Below are 15,071 nucleotides of genomic sequence, written 5' to 3'. Positions count from 1 at the left end.
CTCCTCCTCCTCTGTTTTCATTGAAATCCTCCCCTTGCTGAGTGCTGGGTATAGCAGCCTGACCCCCGGGTCAGCTCCCGAAGGGCTTGTGGGAGGGCAGGAGAGGAGGGGGCAGGAGAAGGGCCAAACCGCCGGCACCCATTGCAGGCCCCGCGGCATCCCCAGCTCCCTGAGCCCCTTCTTAAGTGAGGACACAAGATGGGATTGCCCTTCGACAGCTTTCTGCTTGTTTTCCCCAGAACAATTGGAACTAACCGGGCCAATAGGTGTAATCTCCCCTCCCCCCCTCTGCCTTATAGCGCCTCGGGAAAATCCCACATTTTAATTCCCAGTGAGTCACGAATCCCCCCCACCACTCATGCCTCTTAGGACTCCCTTAATAAGATATTTTTGAAATCCCACGGAGTTGAAAAATGTATCCCTAGGAGATGGAGGAGAAACCCTTTAATCCTACCAGCCTACCGTGGAGGCAAGATCCCTAGAAAAGGTGGGGGAGGATGTTGCAAATTACGTCAAAGGCGAATTTACTGGCCTGTTTGTCTCCAGCATCAAATTTCTCCCCCAGTCAGCCCTCCCCTCGGCCCCTTCGCATTTACAGCACCCCCACCACCCCTGTTCATTTTAACTCTAGGACTTTTTTTTTTCTTTTTCTTTTCTTTTTTTTTTTTTGAGACGGAGTTTCGCTCTTGTTGCCCAGGCTGGAGTGCAACGGCGCGATCTCGGCTCACCGCAACCTCCGCCTCCCGGGTTCAAGCGATTCTCCTGGCTCAGCCTCCCGAATTCTAGGACTTTTAAAGTTAGACAAACAGGCCTCTTTGTCAGCAGCCCCGGGAGGCCGTAAGACTCTGAGAGGCTGCAGGCCCCGAGCTCGGTTCCTGGATTTTCTAAAAGTTCTGGACGTTTACATGCGACTTCGAACTCCGAGAAAAGCCTGTGCCTGGGGGCAGAGTTGGGGAGACGAGGGGAGGGGATAGAAGGTGGCTGGGCGCCGGGCCAGGGCCTCTGCGGTTCGGCCTAACCGAGCCGGAAGAGCCTGGCACGGCTCCACACTGGCCCAGGCCAGTTCTCCCGTCCAGCCTGCAGCAGCAGAGCGGCCTCCTCGCCTGGAACCACGTTCAGAGTTTCCCCACAAATACCCAGCTTCAGCCTTCCCGGTTATTTTTGACTTGTTTTGAATAAAAGGAGTCGCTTCAAAAAGAAATGTTGCCACAACACACAACCAGAGGCCTTTTCTCCAGCTGTGTCTGTAACTCGCATGCGTTCAATCTAATAACTTTTAATGTCTGGTCCTAAAATGTCTTTATAAAAAATAGTTTTACAGCATAATAGTCCAGGTGTCTTTCTGCTTGTTACCGGAGATTAAAAAAATGTGTGGGTTGGCTTGCAGAGATATCCACCCCCAGAAAGACCAGGAAGAAAAAAGCGTGCATTCCATTCTGCAGGCGCTGGTCCTGGAAGCGTTCGCGGCCCAGCCTGGCTGGGCACTGCTCGCGGGGGCACTTGCTCGCCTGTCTTTTGCATCAGTTGTTATAAGCAGCTCTGGAGCATGAAGATTTAATTCTGCCGAAGTTTCGGGTTTCAAACGGTAGAGATGTTTCACTTCTGCTTTGAGAAGGGCTGTTTTTATAACTATGTGCTGAGAACTAAAACAGAATGAATAAAATCGCACCTAATACCAGTCCCACAGTCAGTAGTGAGTCTAATTTTTAAAAGGGAAAATATCTGCTAGCTAGAGCTGATTTTGGCCTTGACCTTGACTTAGTAATCAACTTGAGATGCTTTTGATTATTTTTGGCATGGGGACACTCCAGGATATTTTAAAAACTTTCCGTGTGGATTTACAAGCCACCTCCATTTCAGATTTATGTTTCATGGAGCCTGCACCATCTTGTCCTTAGGCAGAAAGAGACACCCCACCCCCTTCCCAGTATAAAAAGACCCTAGTGGGCAGCCGAATGGGGTCACCATTGGCCGCGAAGTCCGGGCCCGCAGTCTGGGCGCGGTTAGTCCGGAATACCCCCTCCCCCACTCCTACCCCTTCCCGCCAGCTTCACCAACTAGGGCTTCTCGGCTCGCCCTTGAGGCTTTGCGCTCCGGGGAGGCCGGAACCTCGCTTCTCCGCTTCCCCCTCCCTCCCGCCTGCCCCCGCCCTCCCCCCGCGCCCAGAGCCGCGCCGGGTGCGCTGGAGAAGCTCAATACGTGTCAATTGAATTGAACTGCTGCGGGCGCAGGCTGTACGCCGCCGCCAAGCACCGATCAGCACGACGTTACCGAGTGGAAATTTATGGGGCGAACGGTGTAAGCCAAAAGTTGCTCCCTGTCAAGGAAAATAAAACGCGGGAGATAATCTCCCAACGCCGGGGCGAGGGGCCTGGGCAGCCCCTCCAACCATCAGAGGTACAGACCGTGAAAATGCTCGAGAACCGGGAGAAATACAGGCGGATCTCCGCTCGCCGACCGCCCCCCACACGCCTCCCGGTGCCTCCACGGGCTGCTCCCCCCTTCCCCCACCTCCAAACAATTCCCACACAATTGAAACGTCCGGGGAACTCGGGCGCGGAGTTCAGGCGGAACGGCCACCGTTGCCTGGGGTGGTGTTTTCAGGTAGCTTTTAACACCGAAATGGGAAAGGGCTCCTCTGGGAGGAAGGGGCAAACTGGGGTGGGGGTGAGCACGGGAGCACACAGGCCACGCTCCGCTGGGTCTCGGAGGGGACGAGGCCGGGAGAGCGCAGCGCTGGTGGCAAGAGGCGGCGGCAGCGGCTGCTGCCGCTGGGGTTTGACAGCTTTGGCTGAGCGGAGTGCGAGGCGCTTTATGGTAATTGCGGTCCTCCACTGGCCTTCTGGGTAGCGAGGGGAGTCTCGGCGCGCGGCTGGGAGAGCCGCCCCCGCCGCCCCCATCCCTTCGGCTCTGGCTCTGCCGGCAGCCCTCGCCGCCGCCGCCGCCCAAGTCGGTCTCCGGCTCGCCCAGGACGTGCGCCCGGGTCGGGCGTGCGCAGCCAACTCGGCCCGAGCTGGGGAGGGGAGGCCGGGGGACGAGGAGGGGGGGCGCCACCCAAGTGGTCCGGGGTTCGGATCCAGAGAGGCCAAAACGTGCCGGGCCGTGCATCGATGACGGCCGGGGAAACTCGGGCAAACCTTTCCTGGGGAATCACCCCTCCCGAAACCCCGCCGCGGAGGCGCCGCAGCGGAGGGTGAGCGGAGACTGGCGGAGCTCAAACTTGCGAGAGCTGGAGGCGGCGGCGGGCGGGCGGCTGTCGCCCGAGCGCTGCGCCTGCGGGGGGAGGGGAGGCGGCTGTTGGGAGGGAGGGAGGTAGGGCGGGCGGGAGGGAGGACGGGCGGAGGGAGGGGGAGGAGGAAGAGGAGGGAACCAGGGAGGGGGGACGCGTTGGGATCGCGGCGTGCGGCGGCAGACGGAGCCTGGGCTCCCAGCGGCAAGGTGAGGCAGAGCTGCGCTCCTCGCTGAACGCGGGCCGAGCTCGGCGGCTGCGGGGGAGACGCGCAGGAGCCCAGACCGCGACCGAGAGCGGGAGCTAGGCGGGCGGCGGCGGCGGAGGGGGAGCCCGCGAGCCGCCGGGCGGAGAGCCCAAGCCGCGCTGTCGCCGCGCAGGGACGACTTGGCCAACACTCACACACACTCACACACACCCAGCCCGAGCGGGCGCTCGCGGCGAACCGTCAACATGGCGCTGGGGCTCCTGCCCGAGCGCGGGCGGCGGCGGCAGCGCGGGAGCTGCTGAGCTCGGCCAAGCCCAGTCCAGCTGCGGGAGCCCGGAGGATCGCACGGGGCTGTCGCCACCTGCCCGGAGGCCCCGAGCCCGCCCCGCCCCGCCCCCACCCGGCCCAGAGCCCACCCCTCGGCGGGGCCGACCCCGAGGGCAGCCGGCTGCCAGCAGACGGCGAGGGAGTCGAGTGAGCGCGGCGCCGCGAGCGGGCTGCGGGCAGCCGGGGACCGCAAACTTTGCTGCTCGCCGCGCTTCTCCGGCCCGGCTCCTTCTCCGCTCGTTAACGTCGCCAACCCCCCCCACCCCTCATATCTCTCTCCACCCACCCAACCGCCCCCCGCTCCTTCTCGCCGCCTCGAGTCCGCTTGGGGGAAAACTTCAAAGAGCCGGATCGCAGGCTCCCTGCCTACTCCCCCACCGGGGATTTCAGGTCAGTGCCCGGAACACCTTTCCCCCGGGAGACCGCGGACGGGTGGGCGGGCGGGCGCGCTGAGGGCTGCAGTCGGCCCCCTCTCCCGGGGCCCCCTCCCGCAGCGTACCCCGCGAAGCTTTTGCCTCGCGCTTCCCTTTGGCTGCTTGGCTCGCTTTCGTTTTTATTTCATAGCTATGTTATTTAAAATGCAGCCAACCTAAGCGGCCCCGCGTGGGCACCAGGGAGGGAGGGGGCGCGGCTGGGGGCCTGGCGCCTCCCGGTGGGCCAGGAGGAGAGCAGGGAGTTCGCAGAGTGGAAGTTTGCAGCCTGTGTGTGTCTGTGCGCGGGAGCGCGGTCGCCGCTGAGCGCCGCGAGTCGGGCGGAGGGGGGGGAGGTGGGCTGGAAGCTGGGAAGCTGGGTTCGGCGTTAGCTCGCGAGCAGGAAGGGGAGGGCAGCGGGTTGCCGTCTGCTTTCTTTTTCGACTCGGGAAAGAACTGTAAAAACCCCCAGCCGCCGCCACCGCCGCCTCGTCTCGCCTCTCCGGGGGCCGGTCGTTCCTCCAAGTGGAACGTCGGCGTGTGCGTGCGCGAGGGTGTGTGGCGAGTGCCTCGGGCCGAGCCGAGCTCGACCTGCCGCCGCTGCCGCGCAACTCGGGAGGGGAGTCCCGTTTTTTCTTGGCTTGCCCCAAAGCACGAATCACGTGGATTAAAAAAAAAAACTACTAAGAAATCGAGCAGAGCAAGGGGTTCCGACTTGGCCCGCCCGCCAGCCAGGTCAGACGCTTTGTTTTGTAAATGTTCTTTTAAGATTATAATCTGCGATCCCCCTCCCGCTTTCCCCCTCCTCTCCCTCCCCGATGTTCAGCGTAGGTTTTAAGTTATGAGCCCCCAGGGGTGGGTGTAGAATGTGCTTGTGCGGGGGCAGCGTCGTGGAGGGAGGGCGGGGGCGGGCGAGACCTGGGCCCTCCGCTGGGCAATGGGGAGTCTGGTGGGTAGCCCTGATGGGCGTGTGAAAGTCTGCGGCCGGAGGAAGTTGGTCCCACTCGGAGGGCGTGTGGCAAGGAGGCTGTAGGCGAAGAGGAACTTGCGCACCGGGGCAAGATCCTCGGCCAAGGCGGGGAGGGCGAGGCGCCGCGGGGCCCGCGCTCGGAGCCGGCGGGCGGCTGCGCCGCAGAGCCTCCGCCAACTCGGGGGCTCGCGGCGGCGGTGACGAGCGCCTGCTGTTTACGGAGAGAGCCTTGGGGCACCGTGTGTGGAGTAGGGCGGCCGAAGTCACGCGTGGTCCCGGCGGGCTTCCCGCCGCTCGCACGCTCGAGTGGGCCCTTCCCGGGGTCCCGGAGACGGACGAGTCTGGCAGCGTGTAGGCCGTGGCCGGGCGAGGCGTAATTTGCTGTTAATGAATCTTTTCCAGAAAGTCCGCGATCTCCAGCTAGAGGCTGTGAGTGCCCGCGCGCCAGGGCGCGCGCCGCCGGCGTCTGGAGGGTGGGGGTGGGGGGAATGGAAGAGCGAAGAAGGAAGGAGGAGGGTTATGTGTATTTAGAAACAAACCTTAAAAAGAAACCAACGCGCTTCAAATAGGTATTCGCACAGCCTCGCTGCGTCTAGACTAGACAGCTCGGGGTTTTAGCTGTGTTTTCCCCCCCTTTTTTCGTTTTGAGAAGACGCTAGAGGAGGGGTAGTGTGGTATTTGGTTCTAGGGGTAGTCTTTTGGAGAAAGATCCTTAAAATGGCCTGGGAGTAAAGACTAGGAGGAAATGGCCCACCCCAGAAGGTGGTGGGTGGTGAGTGCAGACAGACTTGGGTATTTCTGGCCATCTGACACTTCCTGTGGCACTGGAAACGGACACCGCGGGCCGAAATCAATCCTTACGAAGTGTTGGGTTCGGTTTTGCCAACAGAATTGCTTGCGTGGAAGGCATTTTAATTGTCAGCCTCAAAGATTCCTGTACGTGGACACTTAGGGAATACGCTCGTTCCTTGACCCTGCCCACTCCTCTCTCGACCTGTTATCTGGTGTGGGTTTTGCAGTGTTGGTTTTCGTGTTTATTTTGGGCAGGGTTTCAGCGCGTAGAGCGGAGTGGGGGGGGAAGGCGATGATTAATATGCCATCCAGGTTTAATCCGAGGCTGGCCTTCAGTGTGCGGGTATACACCGCCACGCACACCAATTGCCTTGGGGTGTTTAGGGGAGCGCGCGGGTTTTGGGCAGCAGGCGCCCGGCCGGCAAGTCGCGGCTGGGGCTCGGCTGGCCCCAGCGCTGTCCTTTGAGGCGCTGTCACCAGTAGGTGACTGAGAGTTAATTAGGAAGTGTTCTCCGGATCAATGGGCTGCACAGCTCATTAGCGATTCTCTCCAGCCCTTTGCAGGGCCGTCCTGGCCTCCGCCTCCCACACAGGCCGGGGCCTCGCTGTCCAGGCTGCGGGGAGCGCCGCTGGGAAGTGGGGAGGGGCCGGTAGCGAGGGACGGCGGGGAAGCGAGTGTAACTTCGCGGGGCGGCGCGTTGCGTGCGGCGCCTCGAGGCCCGCGCAGCCCGCTCTTTCTTCCTGCCCGCGGTCGCCTCCACTGTGTCTTTAACTCGCTCCCGCTCGCGTCGCTGCCTGGCTGCTCCTCCCCGCCTCCCGCGCCTATCTCTTGTTCTCTAAGCACGACGCCTGTGCTCCCCGCCCAGTTTAGGATTAGACAAGATAAAAATAGGACTGCCCAGCGCGCGGAGCTGTGACTGTGCCCCGGCAGCCGGGCTGGTGGGAGCGCGGGGGGCCGGAGCTGGAGAGGACCCGTGGTGCGCTCGGAGCGGCCAGTGCCTGTGGGCCCCCTACCCCCACCCCGCAGGCACCGTCACGCTCCCCGGGTTCTGTCCGCCGTGAACCGTGCGGGCCGGGGGACCTGGGCAGGGTCTCCGCGCTCTCGCGGGTGTTGTTGGTGTGCCGGTGATAGATCGGTCTAGACAGGCATGCAGGCTCCCTCCCGGCTGAAGGACTGGAGGGGGGGGAGGCGCGGAGATGGCAGCAGACTCTGTGAGCTGCGAGTGAGCGAGCTAGCCTCCGGGCCCAGCGAGCTGGGTGGAGGGAAGGCCGTGGGGGTTTCTCTTAACCCTTTAAAGGCCGTGGTGGGGTAGTGTAATAGGGAAAGGGGGGCAAAGAGCCTAGTGGAAATTCCTGGAGGCAGAGTAGCTCGCAGTGGGGAGGAGCTGTGAGTCTGGGCCTAGGGTTTTCCTTTCTCTTATGTGTGCACGGTCACATCTTGGTGCATCGGGCTCGATTCTTCCACAAACCAAACGCAGCTGCTAGATGATCTAGTTTGACCAGGTATTTCTCAGTCGGGGAGCTGTGAACACACACAATGAACACCCTCACTTTAAAAACTGAGTTTGGAAGACAGACGTAGACTCAATGTTCCCAAAGAGAATTCATGCGGGTGTTCAAGGACGGGAAGGTCTGCACATAGCTGTAGTCGGGTGGGGCCTCTGACTATGACTGCTGCAGACCAAGGACCTGAGCCTGAAATGCCCCGCCAGCATGTACAGGTATGCACTGAAGAGAGCAAAGCGGTCTTTGAGTTGTCTCTATATAAATAGACATACTTTTAACCAGGAACTTGTGAGGAGTTAGATATGTGCAAGGAGACAGCCTCCAAAGAGGAGCTGGACACTGATGTGTTGTGAGATCCATCGTTTGTGTGTGTATATATATGGCTAATATTAAATTGGTCTAAAATTTTAATACACCTCTGCAGACATTTATCTAGTTCTTTCTTCAGCTTGAAATGGGCGGATGGGTTACCCTATACATAAATAACTCATTACTAACATTCCAGTCTCCTCCTCCCTCCTCTTCCTTTCTTTAAGAGTTTGTGATCTTAAGGGATCCTCTGTTTACATTTAAACTGCAAACCCATATTGGTCTGGCCTGGGAAAGAGCCACATTATAGGCAAAGCAAAAAGAATGGAAGTAGTACGAATGCTCAGATTAAGATGTGCGCTTGAATGACATGTGCTGAGACAAATCAAGACACTTGGGCTCCGTTGCCCAAATGGAACAAGAGATACATAAGAGATAAAGAACTGGCCAAGGGGAATGTAAACATGGGTATGCAAATACAGAGATGTATAGCGATATTCTGAGAGAAAAATCCCAGACTTTGTTGAGCTGGAAACTGGGGCAGAATTTCTGTAAGTGCGTTCCAGAGACAATAGCCCATTTAAAGGTGTGAAGAGGGTCACTTGGAAACACAAAAAGCATTCATATGCATACATCCATGCTTAGATACACAGGCTGAATGACAAACACTCCTCAATGCCTGACGAAGACTTTCCTGCCGAGTGAGTGAGACCGACTTGGGTACAGAAGAGTGGGCCACACAACCACATTCACACACTTATTCACAGGGAAATAATGTGTCTTTGGCTTGAAGGAAACTGAGGGCCACGCTAGCAGCCTAAAGGATGGATGGTGTGCAGTGAACTAGGATTATCTCTGGTTATAGTTTCTTTCCCTTCTAGGGGTGAGGTGGAGTGGGCAGCGGGTTGGTGACGAGCAGGTAGGAGCCTTTCTGAAGAGATTTTGAGTTCCTGACCTTGAGTGGCTGGATCGTGTAGCCACAAGAGGGGTAGCTTTCCACTTTGTGGTCAGTAGGAATGGCTGTTGCACTGCTGGGGTCCAATTTGCTAAGGTGGAGCAGGGCCTCAGTGGGCTGGGAAGGAGAACAGGAAGAAGTGCGGCCTCTGGGAGGAATAAAAGGGAGGTATGCTTTCTTTCTTTTCTTTTTTTTTTTTCCTCTGGAGGAGACCGTGGCGGGGACAGCCTGTGTTGGGTGGATTAGCAGGCGCCTCGGTGACCCCAGACGCGCACGTAAACTCCGGCTAGGGTATGGCTTGCCCGCGGCGTCGATTTGCTGCGGTCCCTCTTTGTCTAAGCCCAGCCGGGAATTCCAGCTTTTATTGGGAAGACCGCACTTGGGTGGGGCCCGCGCCGGGCGGAGTGGGGCAGGGTCCGGTCGCGCTGGGCGGGAGGCTTGGAGCCCGCAGGACGTTCCCCGGAGCTGCGGGCAGCCCTGGCAATGCCACCCCGGTGGTTTCCTCGAGGACACCGGGCCCGGCGGACCCGGAGAGGCGCGGCGGGGCGGGGAACTTCCTGGGTCCATCTCGGCCGCCCCGCCCCACCCTTCTCCCTCCGGCCCGAGGCCGAAAGGAGCTCACAAGGCCCTTTGTTAGGCCCCGAGGTCACACTCGTGCCCCGGGGGCCGCCGATGGGTGGGAGAAAGCAGTGCTGCGGGTCAAGAGGAGCCTCCTTATTGCCTCGGTGCCCCAGCCCATCTTCTGGATCGGGCCCGGTGGGGGCCTCGCCCAAAGCTGGGTGGGGAGGCCTGGGCCGGCCCTGACCCGCCCCGGCTTCTTTGCCAGTGTTTATGGCCGACGGGATTCCGTCTGTTTGCAAAACCGGACGCGCTGCTGAGGCCTAGGTGGTAGAGCCAGGAGAAGCCGCCGGGGCGGGAGTAAATGGTCTCCCCCCAGCCGCCCTGGTGGTAGCCGAGCCGCGTTCGTCGCGCGCACTTGGCCGGGGGCGTCCACTGGTCTCCAGCCCTGCCCGACGGCTTTCTCTGGTTGCCCTCAACGTGTTCATCAGGAAGGGATATCTTACTTTTTGTTGGGTGGAGTTCATTAACGATGCCTTTCTGCGATATTTCTGTAGAAGGCTCCCTTTTGGGGCGCAAGCTCACCTCCATGTGTTTACAATCGAGGGTCTCAGAAACGGGGGTCCTCACTCCGTCATTGTTTTAGAGCTGTGTCTCCCACAGCCGGCACCCACGGGCTCGGCTCTCCATGATTAGAGAAGCGGGGAAGTCCACTCGGAGAAGATCCTGACAGCATAAAAAATAATTTGTGATCTAAAAGACAGTTTCCAGTATAATCTCATTATGCACCACAGACTCCCGATGTTATTTTGTGGAAGGCGGACAATGATCAATTTACATTGACCCGGGGCTGGGCGAGCTTTTAGATGGTAATTGCCATATTGATTTGCATGCAAAAAGGAGACCTGCTAAAATTAAAGACCGGAAGCTAAATTAAACTAAATTTATTGTCTAGGTGCAAACCAGGGGAACTGTTGGGGGATGGGATTGACTCAGGTCAGGGTGCCAGGGGCAGAGCAGGTGAGAAGCCCTGGAGCTTCGGAAGGTCACAACTTGGGAAGCGATCTTTGCCCTTGTGATTTCATGTGGGGAGGGGGAATGTGTTTAAGGAAAAAAGTTATAAAAAGACAATTTTGCATTGAAGTCACTAGGATCTTTCAATGCTAATAGGAACTTAGAGGGAGAGGAGAGGTTTATAGGGTTATAGGGGTCTTCCAGCACCATTTCCGGCGTCCCCCCTCCATTTCTATTGTTCTGCCTGGCCAGACGCTCGCAGTCGTGCTAGGGACACCAAAAACCTCTTGCATTTGAAGAGTTAAAAAATAAATAAAAGCAGCCCGTCCCCCCCTTCCCGCCTTGCTCTCTCTCCCCTCCCCCTTCCCGGAGCATTAGACTTTTCGGAGAGAGCGCACCGCGGGCAGGCCAGGACCGTTGGCGCTGTAGGGAGTTCCTCCCCGGACGCTGCGGTCCCAGGCTTGGCTGGACGGCGATCGCTTCGGGAAGCCGCCCTCTCCAGGTGGCCACAGTAGGCGGGGGTGGGGTGGGGTGGAGCAAGGCGTCTGCCCTGGCCGCCGTCTAGCGGTGCCCGGGACTTGGGGGGAATCGCCTCCCCGGAGGGGTTAGGAGGGCCAGCCCCGCCCCGCCCCGCCCCTCCCCGAACTGGGTGGGGGCCGGGGAGGACTGGAAACCCTGCCCGTTCGCCAAGGCCGGAAAGTTTAAAAAAGAGAAAGAACGCCACTTGCAGAGGGCTGGCCTGCAGCCAGGGGTGGCCGGCCTGCGGGGGCGTGCTCGGCTGGCTAGCGGGGTGAGCGCCCCGGCGCCGCCGTCTCCCCTCCGTCCCTCCCGCCGCCGAGGCCCCTGCACACTCGGTCGCACTGCGGAGCCATTTCGCACATCCGGAGCTTCAGCGTCTGGAGGAGTAACCAGTCCAGGGCCGGGAAGCCCGAGTGTCCGGTACCCCTGCCTGTACCCATCGAGCCGAGCCGGAGGTGGCTTTGGCAGGCTCTGCGGGTGTAGGTAGTTCCCGGAACATCTGAAAGCCTGGGGCAGACCCGGAAATTGGGGATAGGGTGGGGAGGGGATGTTGGGCCCTGAGGTTTGCTGCCGGCCGCTTCTGTAAAGAAACGTTGGGGAAAGGACAAGATAGCCTATCCCCCGGCTTGCGCTTTTGTGGGGGACTCTGGGTGGCCCAATAGAACATCTTGCTGGCGTCTTCCATCTTAATTCCCTCTCCCACACTACTTTGTTCCCTGGGGTTTTTCCTTTAAATCCTAGGAAAGGTAGATGGAGGAGCTCCCTCCAAAGGGCTTTTGCTCTATCTAGATAATTTGATTTATTGCTTTATGTGGCGAAACTGGGGTGGCAAGCCTAGCTCCTAGTACCAGTAGTCAGCACTTTTCCCAGAGACCTGAAAGGAGTCGACCCACCTTACCCCTGACTATTCTGGGGTACTGGAGGAAGGGAAAGGGGAGGCTTGTTGAGAGCATTGGCCTTACACCAGGGTATAACAGTGTAGGGAGATTTGTAGGATGTAGGGGGAAATGGTGAAAGACTTTGAGTGGACCAGGAGATGACTTAGATACAGGAGAAACTGGGTTCACGGCTCACTGTAGACCAAGTAACATAGGTGTTAAACACTCTTTGCCTCGTTCTTGGGTACATAAGGCCTAAGGAAGCTTTTCAGAGGAGACAGTATGTGAAAATCAGGATTTCAAATGGCACAATTAGACCAATAATTGGCTCCTCTCCGCAACTCCAGGACTGAGTTTGACCGTGGCCCATTTTTTACTAGCTGTGTGACCTTGGGGGCAAGTTATTTATGGCCTTTGAGCCCCAGTAAGTTTTTTCATTTGTAAGACTGGGAATAATTATCCACCTTTAGGATCTAAATAGAATGCTTGGCACATAGTAGGCCCCAAGGATGAATAATTGCTTTGAATGACTTGTCATGTTCCTATAGGTTGCTCCTCCATTCCCTGCTGCCCCTGAGACCCCCTGAGACTTGCTAGGCCTGTGTCCTGGGACCCAAGGATGCAGATTAAATCTCCCCTACGAGGGTATTCTAGGTCCACCTTCCTGGGTTCCCCTTTCCCTTTGTTACCGTAGTTTGCATTCTGCCTTTTAAAGGATTCCATATGAAAAGACTTGCTTCTCCCCTCCACCCCCAAGTGGGATCATTATATGGTTAGGAACTCATTTCAGAACCGTCATCTAGGTACCCTTCGGCAAGGCTTCCTGGCATTATTTCAGGGGGGAACCACGGTGCCTAGAGGGGCAAGACCTGGTTGGAAGAGGTGAGAGGGGGTGGCCTGGTGCAGAGGCCAGAGGTGCTGTGGTTTGTTTGATAGGGATTAAGTCCGGATGTTATGAGGGCTCAATGTGGTTTTCAATAAAGTCTGCCAGGGATTGCTTCTTTTATATCAATATGTATTTAAAAAAATTACTAGCATGAGAAGAAAACCAGACCTGTATGGATCCAGGCTGGTAGTAAGCTACTGTGATCAGGTTTCCTACTCGACTCCCAGAGGGGAAGTCAGTGTTTGATTGAAGCTACACTTGGTTCTTGACTCTCAGGGGATGCCTGCTCTGAAACAGGAGCCCTCCCTCCCTTTCTCTCCTCCTCTCCCCCTCCTCCTCCCTCTTTTTCCCTTCTTCCCCTAAAAGCCTTTGTGCTGAAAGAGCTTCAGTAGGCACGAATCCCTGGTCCCTCTCTAAAGAATGCCTTACAGCCTTTGCTGACATTGTTTTGTGAACAGTGGGTTTTACCAGGCCAGCAGTTTCCCCCCGATTTTAGCGCACGATTTTAAAGGTAGTGTATGGACAAGATGCGCCTTACTGCAGTGATTGCCTCAGTGTGTAGCCTGGGCTGGGGCTTGGAATCTAGAGACGCCTTAACCTTTGCCCTAGGGGCCCTCCTGGAGTGGGGGGTGAAGGTGGGGAGCTCGAGGACTGATTGTTTTCGAGGATCTGTTTGTTTTGTCCAGCCACCGAGGCTGAAGGTGGAGTTGGGCAAGTCTGAGTGTATGTTCCAGCTTTGGGTCTGATTTTAAACTTGGTTTAATTGGAGAAACTCCTAGGCATTTAACAGTTCTGTACAAATGCAAACTTGAAATAGCTCGAGGCCTACGTCATTTAGGAAAGAATAAATGAAGTACAGAAATGTCCAAACTATGTAAATCCTAGCGTTGTCTGCCCTCCCATAAACACATGACAAGTGCCAAGGCATTTCCAGTCAAAACACCCATGGAAGCAGCAGCCTCCATCCTTTGTATTTATTATTTTATTAACAGCATTTTACACAGCATTTAACAAGCACAGCGTGCCTGCTTTGCACCAGGACTCTAAGCAGGCGAAAGGGTGGAAAATGGATGGAGGTGGGGGAGGAGTGGTTGCTAGAGGACATCAACTAGAGAAATCTCATCAGATGGGTAGGGAAAGCAGCACCGGGGGTTTATTTCTACTGGCCACAAGGAAGACAGACATAGTGCTTTGGAGGAAGAAATCCTCTCTCCCATCCCAGGAGGAAAGTTGTACAGCTGTGATATGTCTGGTCTCAGCTTTGATTCCAGAGGGTAAAACAGGGTATGTTTCATGATACTCTGCCCATCGGTTATTGGTGATTTTCAAAGAATAAGTATTTGTCTGCTATCGTTATTCTATATCCTGGTGGAAAGTTTATAACGAAAAGTAATGCCTTTCTTAAGTCATAAAATGAGCCTTGTATGCTTATTTAATTAAAATCTATTTAAGGACCGATTAGGCGTGTAATTTGCACTAATAATGACGATTATGGAAATGTTCAACTTAACCAAAAATCATAAAGGAGACATTTTGATCAGTGGGGCGGCCAGTAAGTATTTAGTGAGTTGGGCAATTTCCGAAAGACAGGAGGCATTCCGCTGAGGGCTGCAGAAAGCACAGACCTGTCTGGCCTCTGTGACATGGCATGGAGAGGGGCAGACCTCCCTGTCCCGGCCCCGGCCCCAGCCCGGCCAGACCCCACTTTGCTGAGCATGGAAACCAACCCTGCGAGTCTCCACAACCTTTATTCTCGTGATGCTTCCTCGAGCTTCCAGAAGGAGTAAACTCTCGGAGAGGGCTGATGAGCCACACGGAAATCTCTGCGAAATGGCGGTGCTCTTTTGCTTTAACAAACAGCGCTGACAAACGCATGCTTCCTTGGCTAGCCTTGGCTGGATCCCGGAGGGGTAGGGGGAGAAGGGGTCCCTTGTTCCGGAGAAACCTGCCAGCTGCTGGGCTTGGTGTGAAGGCAGCAAAGGCAGACACAATGCTGCTGTTGTTGGTTTGATCTCTAACTGTGGATTGTTAGTCTGGCTTTAACTATGTGGTAAGGGGGGAATGTGAAGGCTGTTTACAGCGAGTGCAAATAATGTGACAGCTGTTGGCGCGCGAGCAGCGCTGCGCCTCCTCAGCACTTACACAAAGCGCGCACTATGCAGGCCCATGGACGAGCTGCAGAGGTGGCGGCCAGTTTCTGGCCAGCGCATCCCCAGATGAGAGAAAGCTCCACGGCACACCCGCCCTCCATCCCCAACACACATCTTTATGACTTCCCAGGATTGGGGTGGGGTGCAGGATGGTTTGTATGTTGTGGTTTAGGGAACTTGTGGTGAGGCAGAGGTGGCGGGAGAAGGCCCACGGGGCCGTGAGTGTCACCGTGTTGGTGGGGTTTGGCCAGGATCCGTTGAACTGGGTCCTCAGCTGTTTATGGCTGAGTTTTTAAGATTTGTGAAAATAACTTTCAGCCCTAAGTAAGCTTGTTGGAAAGAATGTGTTATTAACTGAAA

General features: G+C 56.9%; 1 protein-coding gene across 47 annotated transcripts in view, besides 10 other annotated features; it reads left to right on the top strand.

The window, feature by feature from the left end:
* BCOR (BCL6 corepressor) overlaps positions 1–15,071 on the top strand; it is a 126,032-nt gene that overhangs the window by 75,909 nt on the left and 35,052 nt on the right. For 5 of the 47 annotated variants that reach the window (XM_005272620.5, XM_005272619.5, NM_017745.6 and 2 more), the window contains exon 1: positions 3,411–4,154. The exons of 16 other annotated variants lie outside the window; for them this stretch is intronic. The gene's annotated coding sequence lies outside the window, so the exon portion shown is untranslated. Of the gene's footprint in view, positions 1–2,134; positions 2,605–2,715; positions 2,818–2,871; positions 3,194–3,410; positions 4,155–4,180; positions 4,910–5,176; positions 5,574–15,071 lie in introns of those variants that run through there. 26 more of the 47 variants (XM_047442220.1, XM_047442203.1, XM_047442212.1 and 23 more) reach the window with 19 other exon arrangements.
* Positions 501–1,021: an enhancer, noted in NCBI's record as "H3K4me1 hESC enhancer chrX:39959601-39960121 (GRCh37/hg19 assembly coordinates)". NCBI's record gives its function as "activates a minimal SCP1, AML or CMV promoter by ChIP-STARR-seq in primed H9 embryonic stem cells {active_cell/tissue: H9 hESC(primed)}" and the evidence as "EXISTENCE:reporter gene assay evidence [ECO:0000049][PMID:30033119]".
* Positions 2,108–2,217: a silencer, noted in NCBI's record as "silent region_20747". NCBI's record gives its function as "represses an Ori minimal core promoter by ATAC-STARR-seq in GM12878 lymphoblastoid cells {active_cell/tissue: GM12878}" and the evidence as "EXISTENCE:reporter gene assay evidence [ECO:0000049][PMID:35858748]".
* Positions 2,918–3,087: a silencer, noted in NCBI's record as "silent region_20746". NCBI's record gives its function as "represses an Ori minimal core promoter by ATAC-STARR-seq in GM12878 lymphoblastoid cells {active_cell/tissue: GM12878}" and the evidence as "EXISTENCE:reporter gene assay evidence [ECO:0000049][PMID:35858748]".
* Positions 3,218–3,337: a silencer, noted in NCBI's record as "silent region_20745". NCBI's record gives its function as "represses an Ori minimal core promoter by ATAC-STARR-seq in GM12878 lymphoblastoid cells {active_cell/tissue: GM12878}" and the evidence as "EXISTENCE:reporter gene assay evidence [ECO:0000049][PMID:35858748]".
* Positions 3,358–3,587: a silencer, noted in NCBI's record as "silent region_20744". NCBI's record gives its function as "represses an Ori minimal core promoter by ATAC-STARR-seq in GM12878 lymphoblastoid cells {active_cell/tissue: GM12878}" and the evidence as "EXISTENCE:reporter gene assay evidence [ECO:0000049][PMID:35858748]".
* Positions 3,648–3,697: a silencer, noted in NCBI's record as "silent region_20743". NCBI's record gives its function as "represses an Ori minimal core promoter by ATAC-STARR-seq in GM12878 lymphoblastoid cells {active_cell/tissue: GM12878}" and the evidence as "EXISTENCE:reporter gene assay evidence [ECO:0000049][PMID:35858748]".
* Positions 3,788–3,847: a silencer, noted in NCBI's record as "silent region_20742". NCBI's record gives its function as "represses an Ori minimal core promoter by ATAC-STARR-seq in GM12878 lymphoblastoid cells {active_cell/tissue: GM12878}" and the evidence as "EXISTENCE:reporter gene assay evidence [ECO:0000049][PMID:35858748]".
* Positions 5,828–5,877: an enhancer, noted in NCBI's record as "active region_29534". NCBI's record gives its function as "activates an Ori minimal core promoter by ATAC-STARR-seq in GM12878 lymphoblastoid cells {active_cell/tissue: GM12878}" and the evidence as "EXISTENCE:reporter gene assay evidence [ECO:0000049][PMID:35858748]".
* Positions 7,951–8,577: an enhancer, noted in NCBI's record as "OCT4-NANOG-H3K27ac hESC enhancer chrX:39952045-39952671 (GRCh37/hg19 assembly coordinates)". NCBI's record gives its function as "activates a minimal SCP1, AML or CMV promoter by ChIP-STARR-seq in naive H9 embryonic stem cells {active_cell/tissue: H9 hESC(naive)}" and the evidence as "EXISTENCE:reporter gene assay evidence [ECO:0000049][PMID:30033119]".
* Positions 9,834–10,461: an enhancer, noted in NCBI's record as "NANOG-H3K27ac hESC enhancer chrX:39950161-39950788 (GRCh37/hg19 assembly coordinates)". NCBI's record gives its function as "activates a minimal SCP1, AML or CMV promoter by ChIP-STARR-seq in primed H9 embryonic stem cells {active_cell/tissue: H9 hESC(primed)}" and the evidence as "EXISTENCE:reporter gene assay evidence [ECO:0000049][PMID:30033119]".

The sequence above is a fragment of the Homo sapiens genome, chromosome X, assembly GCF_000001405.40.
Source record: "Homo sapiens chromosome X, GRCh38.p14 Primary Assembly".
NCBI lineage: Eukaryota > Metazoa > Chordata > Mammalia > Primates > Hominidae > Homo > Homo sapiens.
Note: the sequence above shows the minus strand (reverse complement) of the source record. Positions and strands in the feature narration are given on the sequence as shown.